Source organism: Homo sapiens, chromosome 3 (assembly GCF_000001405.40).
Source record: "Homo sapiens chromosome 3, GRCh38.p14 Primary Assembly".
Lineage (NCBI taxonomy): Eukaryota > Metazoa > Chordata > Mammalia > Primates > Hominidae > Homo > Homo sapiens.
In genome coordinates, this window is record NC_000003.12 from 21,422,680 (window position 1) to 21,435,713 (window position 13,034).

At 35.4% G+C, this 13,034-nt stretch overlaps 1 protein-coding gene across 16 annotated transcripts in view; it reads right to left on the minus strand.

Moving 5' to 3' along the window:
- Positions 1-13,034, minus strand: part of ZNF385D (zinc finger protein 385D) — a 960,546-nt gene that overhangs the window by 10,462 nt on the left and 937,050 nt on the right. For all 16 annotated transcript variants that reach the window (NM_024697.3, XM_017007192.2, XM_017007191.2 and 13 more), the window contains 2 exons: positions 2,813-2,991; positions 1,284-1,385 (listed from right to left, as the gene is read on the minus strand). In NM_024697.3, coding sequence (NP_078973.1) covers positions 1,284-1,385; positions 2,813-2,991 — 281 coding nt within the window. The remainder of the gene's footprint in view (positions 1-1,283; positions 1,386-2,812; positions 2,992-13,034) is intronic.

Genomic DNA, 13,034 nt, shown 5'->3' on the forward strand with positions numbered 1-13,034 from the left:
TCAACATATGCAAATCAATAATTGTGATTCATCACGTAAACAGAACTAAAGACAAAAACACATGATTATCTCAATGGATGCAGAAAAGGCTTTCAATAAAATTCAACACCCCTTCATGATAAAACTCTCAATAAACCATGTAATGAGGGAACACATCTCAAAATAATAAGAGCCGTGTATGACAAACCCACAACCAACATCATACTGTATGGGCAAAAGCTGGAAGCATTACCCTTAAAAATCAGCACAACACAAGGTGTCCTCTCTCACCACTCCTATTCAACATAGTATTGGAAGTCCTGGCCAGGGCAATTGGGCAAGAGAAAAACATAAAGGGAATCCACATAAGAAGAGAAGAAGTCAAACTATCCTTGTTTGCAGACAAAATGATCCTATATCTAGAAAAATCTATAGTCTTGGCCCAAAAGATCCTTAAGCTCATAAACAACTTCAGCAAAGTTTCAGGATACAAAATTAAAATAACTTCATTTGAACAAAAATGGGCAATGCTACTAAACTAACAGGACAGCTTGTACTGGGGTCTCATAATAGATAATTGCAGTTTTCCTTTATTTATGTTTTCATGTGTCAGCAGCACATAACAGCATCCAATAGTAATAAGATCTATTTTGTATAAATGTTTCAAAATGCACAATTTAGCTTATGTTATAGAACAGTTGTTCTTAACTTTTCATTGAGCTCTGAGTCTCTCTGATGAAAGCTATGGTCACTTCAACCAGAAACAAACTAACAAAACAAAATAATATACCTGTTCATCAATATTCATCTACAATGTCAGGAGGTTTCACAGGATTCCTCTAAAGTCCTACCAAAATATCCAGGTCAGGACATTATAATAGTATACTTAGCAATATAAAAAGCTTATTTGCAGTCATGGGGAGAGGAAATTCCTACAAAATATTTCCTGGGTTTTATGGAATGTCCTTGACTGTTATTCAAAATCCAAAATTGTTGAGAATACCAACAATACAAATACTTTGTCTCTTAAACACATTAAAAAAGATATACATGAATTTGTTTTTTCCTGACCTTCCTTCCAAAAGTACTAACTTACATCAAGACCAGATTTCATGGGATTACTTACTTGACTCAAAAGAGTTTGGTTTTTCTCTTTTCCCTATGATCTATGATAAATCTGAACTCAACTCAAAAAGGTAAAAGGTACTGGGCTGTGGTTAAAGGTGGCAAAATGCCAGAACAAATCAAGAAACCAATAATTCCATTTGGGAATAGAGGCTGGACTCTTGCAAAATGACACTCACCCCCAGTGGATGTGCTGTCTTCTGTAGTTTGTTGTAAGGACTGTATTTAGGTTTCGGGGGCTTCCCAGCAGCTCTGTCTTTGTGCCTTCTACTGCTAATGTGCTATTAAAAGTAATTTAAAATGACAGCTTTAAAAAAATCATCTGCAAAAACCTCTCACAAATATTGCTTTAACCTGGAGAAAGATATTCATTATTTCATGCAAGTTTCAGAAAGACAAAAATAAAAGATCATGCACTTTTGTCCTGAGATTCTGATGCCTTGAGGATATATATTTTTATGCTATCCATATATATATTCATATATATACTATTATATATATACTTATATATATATATTTATATATATATATATATTTTTTTTTTTTTTTGAGATGGAGTCTCACTCTGCTACCCAGGTTGAAGTGCAGTGGCGCCATCTCAGCTAAGTGCAACCTCTGCCTCCCGGGTTCAAGCAATTATCTGCCTCAGCCTCCCAAGTAGCTGAGACTACAGGTGCCCACCACCATGCCCAGCTAATTCTTTGTATTTTTAGTAGAGATGGGGTTTCACCATCTTGGCCAGGCTGGTCTTGAACTCTTGACCTCTTGATACACCTGCCTCAGCCTCCCAAAGTGCTGAGATTACAGGCGTGAGCCACTGCGCCCAGCCTATTTTAGTGTATTTTTAAACAAATAGTAGCGTCTTTTTTTTTTCCGAGCTTTTCTTCTTATCACTACACACATCTCTTTTTTTTTTTTTTTTGAAAAACATTTACAAAGGGAAGGAATGTCTAAAGGAATTTTACATGCAAATAAACAAAGATGCCCAGGGACGAATGAATTTATTTCCATACTAATGTTTATCCTCACATTTGTACAGTCAAATGTCAAACCCTTAAATTCTAAAGATAAATAAGGTGCATAAAATCAGCAAAATATTGTACATATATACAAAACAAAATACAACATGAGGGCTGAACGTTTAGCTGGCAATGTATAAATGATCTCTTTGGAAGACTATTCATAGTAAAAATGAACACAACTTGATTAGTCATTCCTATTGCAGGTGGCTGCAAGATCTAAACATACAGAACAACACCATATAATAAAACACATAAAATGAAAGAATAGCTCAGTGTAAAATTACTTGTAGCACGTAAATATCTAAACAAATTAAAACGGAATACTGCAAGTTGATCTTTAAAGAAAATCAACACTTTTGAGTGGAAAATCCGGTAGAGAAAAGACCTGATATCCCTTCTCCACCCACTCTTCGTATACAAGAATAGTAAAAACTCACAGCCAACAATTTCTGAAAGATTCTAGAATCTATTACATTTTAGTATTTCCTCAAGTAACTAAAATAAGTATAAATAAATCAGAACAGTGAAAGGAAGATAAGTGGGTTAACAGATGGGCAGATGGAGGGATGGATGAATAGATGGGTGAATGGGACAGAAAGACAGAAATAAAAAGGAAGGAAGCACACACATCCTGCTTATAAGGCTGTCCCTTGTTGGTTTTCATTCCTAGAATACGTGCTGTTTACCTGTTTAAGTTGCGTTTCCGAGTTGACGTGCACATCACAGATTTCACAGTGAAATGTTTTATTTTGGAGGCCTGTGTTTCCTTTATTAACAGGTCCTTTGCCTTTCACTCCTGCCCTAGGAAAGGCTTTGATAGTGCCACTTCCATTCCGGGCTTCTAACATGGTTTTGTGCTTAGTACCTGTCAGGAATATTGAAATGAAGGAAGGAAAGGAGGGAGGAAAGAAGGGAGGGAGAGAAGGAGGTGGGATGGGAGGAAAAAAATCTTAGCTAGTATATACCTTTAAGAAACAGTACAATAACAAAATCTGATGCCTCATTTTAGTGCAGTTTTTCCTGGCATTATGGGCAGAAGTATATACATGATACAGCAGACTGTAACAATGTGCTTTCATCACTTTATATGATGTTATTAAATTATTCATTTTTTTTCTAATGCTCCGCATTACAAACAAGCACCGTTAGTATAGTAACTAAACTTTAGAGTCCTGAGGGGAAATGAAATGGGTGTGACTTCATTTCATTTCCTCTTGATACTAACAAGACATAAATGATACCTGATGAGGAAGAGTCATTTATTTGCTAAAGATATAGCTGGAGGTGATGTGTAACAAGTGTAATCAGTTTAAACATGGTGTGTTTATAGAAGTGGCACTAATTAAATACCCACTTTCTAAACAGAATACAAACAAGCTTTCGTGGCTATGTATTTTAGGTTCCAAGTGAGAGTAATAGTATAAACAGCTTAATGACTCTGAAAAACAAATCCATATTAGAATAGTGAAGCCCACACAGGTGGGCTATGTAAACAAATGACCAAGAAGATGAGGGGTGGACTCGTAACCCAAGCATATACACGATGGATAACTGCTTCCTTTTAATAAACAAATAACATCTTCAGGCCTTCACACATCATTCATGCAACTCTGATTGTCAACCGTTAACAACCCATTTGTGTTTTGTTTTCTTGAGATCACTGTAGTTACATACTGTTCATAATGGCAGTTTTCTCTGAAAATTTTGCACAAAATTTCTTTTTTTTTAGAGTTGATAAGTATTCTTCATTTTTTTCACTTGGTCATGTGTTTTTTCTGTGACATTTTCTTTTATAATCATTTGTGTTCTTTCTGCCATTCTGATTTTAGAAATATTTGGTAGTAGTTTCCCCTGCCTATTTGAATGGATTAGATTGTACGTTCGGCAACCATTAAAGAAATGATTCCTAACTTCTGAGTTACAGGCCAGCTTCCCAGAACCACTAAATGTTAATGAGGAAAATATATTGTGAAGGGCACTCGAGGTCACTGCAGATCACATTATATTAAGTAAGGGACAATAAATAAATTAAACAGGTTTCTAGCCACATGTTTCCCTTCTTCAAAATGATTACATTTTACTGAGTCCAATGTAAAAAGTATTCATTCTTACAACCTAGATGGCCTATTTTAAATATCCATATTCTTTTCCATTCTTATTAAAATGTTCATATTTCAACACATTAGAGAAAGGAAAAAGTCAATATCTCGCAGGAAGATAGGACGAATTGAAACGTGGAACCAGAGAACTGCTCCAGTGTAATGACTGTGATGCTTCACGGGAGCTTATTTCAGTCACCTCCTTTGCAATATAGTGAGCACAAATGCTTTCCACTGCAGCTGCAAATGACATAAGTGGGAGCTGAAGATGACATAAGTGGGAGGAGGGCAAAGAAAAAATAGTCCTAGGGAGCAAGAAACAAAATATGTAAATGATTATGAAAACTTCTTTATCCTAACAGATGATTTTATACAAAATGTTTCTATGCAGCTCCTTCAGTGACACTGAGAAGCATTATTAGTAGGGCTAGTTTAGTTTATGAATGCCTAAGAAGTTAGTTGGAGATTGACTCTCATCCTGATTTTCTTGAGGCATTCCAAATTCACTTTTGGTTAATATCATCTGTGATTGGTAGCTGGTGTTTCATAGGTGGAAGCTGAATGGGTCCAAATACTATTTTAACCTATTCAATAATACTTAAGTAGTTTATGTTGATTGGGAAGAGAAAAAAGCCAGACATAGGTGGCTTGTCTCAGCATTGAGTATTAAGTATTCAGGAGATAATGGAAAATTTAAGAGATTTGGCCCCAGTAGTAGGGCTTAGCAATAGCAGGCAAAGATTCAGAAAATATGGTGCTTCTCAGAATATCTTTGGCAAGCTAAGACCCATCTATGTCATGTTTTTTAGAGGAAGAATAGAAATGGGACATATGTGAACATTTTAGAAATACCCATCTTTTCAGAAAGTCATTGGGTTGTTCGAATTATTATTTAAGTATAGTCTCTCCATAGAAGCTAGAAAAGATAGGACAATTAAATATACCCATACCTTATAAACATACACTTACACACACATGCACATGCACACACACACAGGTATACATATGATTAAAAATGTGGCAACATTGGGGAAGGGAACTTCAATTAATAACTATTGAGTCTAGGGTTACTATTCACCATTAAATGGAGTAGAACTTTTAAACAGTGTAACCTCATACATTTAGTAAGATATTGTCAATCATAATTCAATAACTATTAGATAGTTTTATAAGATCTTAAAGCTTGAGTAGGCAGTAAGTGTAGCTGTATTTCCTCCAAATACAGCTAAAATTTAGGAAAATGTATTCTTAATTATAAAGCATTTAAATGTATGAGATAAAATGTGCATTAATAATATAAACATAATTAGTATTAGAAGAACCCCTTTGTATTAAATCTGTAATATGTTTCAGATACTGTGCTAAATTTTTTACCTGCTCACAGCTACCCTATGAGCTGGGTGCTATTATTATCCCCATTTAGGAGATAATAAACTGAGACTCAGAAAGACTAAGTTACTAGCTCGTGGTCACAAAGCAAGCATTACTTGAAGTCCCTGGCAGAAAGAAAGGAGATTTCTAGCTAAGTTCCTTAGAAATTCACTAAGAATTTCTAAGCCACCTGAATTCAGTTACACACAAATCTTTAATTTTCTATTTTGTTAATACTGTCTTTTCTAAACTTGGAATTTGAGTCTACAATTCTCCTTCCATCCCCGCACCCCCACCCCCTGCTTTTTCTCATAAAGCTTTTTTTGCTGAGCAGAGTGCCACGAATGGTGACACTTTGCGAAGATATGGCTCTGTGTGGCCGGTGGTCTCCTCTGGTTTCAACATCATGTAAACATCTTGCAAGGCTGTCCCTTCTTTTGTGATGGCTCAGCTAGGCACTCATAAGTCTACTTCTGCACTACATTCCTTCCTCTGAGGAGAGACTCTGCAAGGAGCTAAGTGGACTATTTTTCTTTTATCACCTTTAAAAGGCTGGTACTGACAAATACCTTCACCTGAAGCTTCATGATTTCTGAAAGGTGAAATCATACTCCAACCACAGTCTAAATTCAGCACGGCATAAGGCTCCAAGAAATCCTTTTTTTTTTTTGCTTTCTGCTTAATTGTTCGTTTTGGAGTATTTGGGGGAAAGATACATATTACGCTTAAAATCAAGTTAATATGGGGGCAAGGGGCTAGACTTCCCTTTCGTTTCCCATCATTCTTACAATTCCTCTTTTTAGCTGGCTTTCAAGTTTGGTACTGGCATAAAGGAAAGATAGGTAAACAAGAAAACTGGCAAATGACTAAAAAGTTAAATAAATCATACATTAGAAATAATTTATTAGGTCACAAGATAAATTTAAAAAAAATTTTAAGGAAAAAACCCCCTAATTTCACCAACTAGAGGTATATAAAAATATTAATAATAGTTATCATGTACCAGTCTTTTATATTCTATTTGTACATGTGCATTTTAAAAAGTTGGAATAAGTTAGCTAAAGTGGCTTTGCATAAAATTCCTGTGAAATTATATATATGCTTTTAGAAATGCACATGATTTTTAATGACAGCATAGACTTGTAATACATCGAGATGATATATTTAACCATTATCTAATATTAGACATTTGTATTATTTCCCTTTATTTCCCTATATAATTATGTTGTAATGAGCATCCTACTCATTAAATCTTTCATCACATTTTTGATTGTTTCCTTGGGATAGCTTTTCATAAGTGGTATTATAGGGACAAAGAATATAACTATTTTTAAGTCTCTCGATTCACAGTGCCAAATTATTTTCTAAAAATTACAAAGAAAGTTTCAGAGGGGTTTACTTTATAGGGAAATCTAGTTGGTATAGTCTGAAAAAGTTGCCCCTCTCTAAAATAAATTTGAATACCTTTAAGTTTAGTTTTTCAGAAGGCCCATTAAATACTATTTAATAGCATTTGACTAGATTTTTAACAAACTCATACAATTGCCAGCAATAATTTAGTTACCATCATATTGACAAGTTCAATGATTCAGCTTATAAATGGGCAGTAAAGTGGTCAGTCTCCATACAAACAGCAAAATGCAAAGCTGTTTTTTTTTGCTAAGGTGTTTATTTATGATATTTGGTATAATAGCATTATAACTCTTGTGTGTACTAAGGAAGGAAAGCTCTCTCAAATCTACGTACCTGGAATGTGTAATTAGCATCAAACGCTTCCATGTGTTCTTTTAAAAATCTCTAAATATCAAGTTAACCTTTTATTATGTTGACCTCCTATATAGTAGCATTTTCCATGTTAATTTTTTCCTAAAGAAGAAAACTTTGGTTTACATTATCAGAATATCAACAAACATTAAGCACCTGGAATGGCATCTAGGTATCAGGTGACCAAATATTGCCCCAAATAAGAAAAAAAAAATTCTATCATTTCTGTTAGTTCCTTGGTTGAAAGTAATTCACTGATTTACCAGTAATATATCCAAAGTCCAATTTGGAAAGGTGAAAATAGAGACAAAGAAAACAAGAAGTCTAAAACAGAGGAAAAAATAAGCATGCTTTTTTCAGAAATGGTCCTGGAGGGAAAGCTCTGAAGTCATTATGGGGTAGGAGACAAGCTGCACAATGGACCCTGTGACCAAAGGAAACCCAGGGAAGAGCTCTGCAGGCTGAGGGACCCAATGGGCAGAACACATGGCTTATCTGATAGTGGAGACAAATGTGAGAACTAATATAGCAGCAAGCCTTGAAATTCCAGCCTGTGAAGAGAAATATCAGACATCCAGAAAGCTTTTTTTATCCATAATGCCCTGAAAGTGTGACTATAGAAAACACTAAGGCTCTACCCCGCTTCTCTAGACACACACTGAAAAATCTTTATATGCACCCATTTCTTCTCCTTAAAAACAAGGCCCTTCCTTAAGGCCATGGAAAATACCACATTGCTTTTATATCCATTCCCCAAGAAAGCCTAGTGAAAAGGTCTTAAACTTATTAACATGCAACAATTAATAAATGGACAAATTAATCACACTTCCATAGTATAATTGCAACATAATGCTGTCTTATTTATAAAAACAGTGCTTTTGTTTGCATTTTGTGTAAACTAGTTTTATTTTTTATTTTGTTAATGAAAGCAACAGATGTTCTTGCTAGAAAATTCAAAGAGCACAAAAGAATATAAAGTAAAAAGCAAAAGCCTACCCACCTATCAACTTTAAGCTCCAAGTCCTCAGTAGTAACACATTTTCACATGTATACTTTCAGAAATTTTTTAAATATCAGTGATTTTATATGAGGCATAGACAGGAAAAATGACCCAGGTTGAACTTTCCACTGTTTTGCACTTGAAACCTCATTTAACAAGAATAGTCATATAAAACAACATAGCTAGAAAATGCGTCTTGACACATTTCTGAAGTCACTCATTCTGGTTGTTAATCAGTGAGAAGTCACCAAATGTGAAATTAGTAAACCCTAAATGCTCACAGTGATGTAATAATTCTTATTATTAGGTAATATACCTGAAATCATTTACTATCAAAATCCCCCAAACATATTATTTGTGAATTACAGCTCTAGTACCTAGAAACTTCTGTGATGATAAAAATATTCCATATCTATACAAATGTATGGTTAATATGGTAGCCATTAGCCATGTGTAGCTCTTAACCACTTGAGATGAGGGCACCGCAACAGAGAAATGGTACTGGCAATTAATTTCAATTTAAATAGCCACCTGAGGCTAGTGGCTGCCATTTTAGATAGTACAGCTCCAATATTCAAATATGCCCTGTATGGCCATGTGGAGCACAGGGAGTTATGAGGCTGTTTTCATCATCATTTGTAGAAAGTTTAAAGAAGTTACAACAGAAGAATTGTGATAGACGAGTCTCTATCTTTATTTTCAATTAAAGGGAAGCCTTATCATTACCCTAGAAGATGTTGAATGGAAGTGGCAAACAATCTTTGGGCCTTAATAGCAATAAGGTCATGAACACTAACCACAGCTGAATGGCTTAAATGAGCTTTTCACATGAAGCAAGTATGTATTTCACTTCTGAACACAGAGTCACAATTAGACATGGACTTCTTGAAGACAATGACTAGGTCTTGCTCATAGTTGTATTCTCTGTGTCTAACACATAGTAGATAATCAAGGAAAATTAACTGGGGTATTAGATATCAATACAGATTGATGAACAAATACAACTTTTTTTTTCATTTGTAAAAAGAAAGTTATGAGCTCAGGCTCTAGAATTGTGCGGGACAGATTTTGCCTCCATTAGCTGTGTGAGCTTAGGTTTCTTTGTGCTTCAATGTCCTCATTTATTTTGAAAAGAAATTATCTGCTCTATTGAAATGTATTAAATGCATTTATTGTTTTAAGGATTATTCTTGACACTTTGATCTGCTCAACAAATTTTAATCAATCTTATCCTTCTTTTTTACATTGTTGCTTTTGTTAAGGCAAAAGTTTAGAACCCTCTGAGCATTTTAAAATTTAGTAAAGTCTGTCATTTGATAACTATCTTTTCTGCATATTGAAACTTGGTGAGGGGATAGAATAAACTCTGTCTAGACATATAAGACAAAAACTAGAATGTGTTTAGCAAAAATTATCCAATGTTGCTAAATTAGTAATGAGCTTTAACTATAAACGATCTCAAAGGTTTTTTTCTTTTTTTCTTTCAAATTTTACAGGGAAAACCATCAAAATTAGCTAAGCAGAGCACTACCTACTAGGATATTTGGGGGAATTTTTTTTTGTGGGGGGAAATTTTTTTAAAGAAAAAGAAAAACACATCTTTTGTAATATTTGTATCTATAGCATATAGGTCAAGGGAAGGGCTTCCAAATCTCTTTAAAAGACTATGTCCTCTTAAGGTGTTTAAAAAATTCTTAGACTGTTGTAAACACCACTAGTTAGCTCAAAAGAGGTACTTCCCTTTCCAAATTAAAAAAAAAAAAATCAAAGTAGGAATGCCTCTGTTCAAATCCTGTATTCTAATCTTATGGAATATATATCAATTAATTGCAACTTCAAATGGTTACACACTAGTGAAAAATCAAAGGGAAAGCGAATGAAAGAACACAATTGATCCCCAAATAATGCCAGGAGCAGCTGTGGTCATGCTAATAATCATGACATAATTTGATCCTTAAAAATGCCATTATGGCTTCTTAACTCCATTAGCAACAGAGAAAGAGAAAGAGAGATAGAAAGACAGATATATACAAAGGCCCAGAGAGGACAACTGACTTGCCCAGGTCCATATAGAAATGTTCTCTGCATATCTGGGGGCAAAATTTAACTCTTATCACTTCTAGTCCATTCTGCTGTCCTATATCACTGATAGCATTTAATGGAAGTTGCATTCCCAAAATTTGGCTGTGGTCATTTGTTTAGAATTCAGAATGCATTTTCTAAGATTGAAAAACATGTTTTGAAAGATCATTGGCTTTCCCCTCATAGATGCACATTTCTATACTTAATGCTACAGACCCTATTTTATGTATATAATGTGTTTCTAAAGGGGAAAAACAAGAAAAACAATTAGAACTATTATTCGGATGCAAGGGAAACATTTCCCCACCCTGCAGCCTGGCTGCTTCAGATCAGAATTGGCCTTCAAACCTGGTTCCCTGAAAACACAATCCAATCTTAACACTGGCTTTCTAATATCTGGCTCTGAAAGAAAGCAGAGAAGTGTTTCTGAAGCACTATTAGAGGGGCAGGGCTAAGTGTAGGAAACAGTGGAGTTCTAAAGGTGGGGCATTGATTGCTGTCTTCTCTGAATGCAGACAATAGTGGGGTATATTTAAAGAGAATTTAGAAAACAACAATTAAATGAACTAAACGGCCTAGGCAAACTACTTTCTACCAGCACTATGATCTGGCAACTCTAAATAACATCAGCGATAAAGGACTACTCCCTAAAAAATATTTTGTTAGTCTATATTTTAAACAATTAATGTGGTTACCATTAAGATTTAGTGTATATTAAATTCGCAGATTTTTATTACTTATCTTGTAATTGACACCACATGAGCTCCAGACACACACAAATTCAGTAACAAGTTTTTGTGTCATTAGTAAGTTCATAACAGTTCCAAATACTTTGAGCTCACTAAGGGCACGGTTCATGCATTTAAGCCCTGCGGTATTACATCTTTTTTTAAAAAATGTAAACATTAGGTTATAAATTAACAATGATAGCACAGTGATTATAAATATGAAGAAATAGAATCGGAATTAATTTAATTCTGTCATTTTTCATGACCAATAGAAGTTTTTATGTTTAACACAGTGAAACGGAGTGCAGGCCAGAAGTCTAACAGTTTCATTTGGTCAGCCCCAATTGTTCAACTTGGTAGTTGGCTAAATCATGCATTCCGTTTGGGCTGCCTTCCTTTCCCTCTTTCTGTTACCCACTCCCTTAACCTCCTTCACCTCCCTAAGAAACTATTTGCCCTCAAATCCTTGTCTCCAAATCTGCTCTTGAGGGAGTCCAAACTGAAACACGCCACAATGATCATATGATGAATCCTACATCTGTGGCTAGTATTCCTGGCAGAAGAGCAGGTATCTCTAGATTTTCTCTTCTTTATTTTGTTCCCTGGATTTCCCCATACCACACCCTAGGGAGAAGATATAGAGGGAGCCAGTATGCATGTGGCAGTTGTTTAGTGCAGGTAAGATTGCATTCACATTTATCCACATCTGGAAGAAATCCTAGACATGGTGAGCCTTCCAACACTGTTCAAGTTACAAATAATAGAGCTGGATCTGAAGATCAAAAATGGTGGACAGAGGGGGTCAAACAGCAACTATTTATGTGTCTTTTCCTCTTCCCTTGCTACCTTTAGTCCTGACACAGCTTGCTAGTGCAAGTCTAAGGAGAGCTCTAAAATGAGCATTAGGCCAGGATTTTGGAGTGGGTTCTTTTCAAACAGAAAAAGATCTCAGATGCAGGAGGGAAAATACAGGGAAAAGGCAACCCAAGGAGCAGCTTAGAAAGAAGGCAAGTGGCCTTCTTTCCACCGATTAGGCCTAAGGTTCAGAGAGAACACTCTTATAAGGGAATTCAAGTAAAGGGTGACAGCCACATTTCACCTCCTTAAACTCTTGGATAAGATTGTTATAATAGTTCTCAGCTCTGCCTGCAAAACACTGAAGTTTTATTTATTTATTTTTCTCCAAAAACTACAGCTTCCCATGACTTGGATATAATAATCAGAATCCCTGGGCATAGCGCTTGGGTACATACATTTTTAAAGCTCTGGGGTAATTTTGACACACAAAGTAGAGATAAGGACCTGGAAGTAGAATAGGAAAAATGTTGCCCTAATTTGACAAGTAATTCCTTCTTTGTTTCTTTATCAGATATTTCTAATAAGAATTCAAGAAGAACAACTCCCAATTTTTTTTTTTTTTTTTTTTTTGAGACAGGGTCTCACTGTCAGCCAGGCTGGAGTGCAGTGGCGCGATCATGGCTCATTGTAGCCTCAACCTCCTAGGTTCAAGAGATCCTCTCACCTCAGCCTGCTGAGTAGCTGCAACTACAGGCACATGCCACCATGCCCAGCTAACATTTTTTTTCATAATTTTTTGTGGAGATGGGGGTCTCCCTTTGTTGCCCAGGCTGGTCTCAAATTCCTGGTCTCAAATGATTCTCCTACCCCAGCTGCCAAAGTGTTGAGATTACAGGTGTAAAACACCACAGCCCACCAAAATTCTTGATAAACTCTAGTCTCAAAGGACATGGTGTGTTTATCTGTCAAGATTGATGCTTTCTCAAAATGAATGTGTTTCTCAGTCACTATGCGGAATGACCAAGGATTCTTGGGAAATAAATGGACTACCAATGATGTTTATACT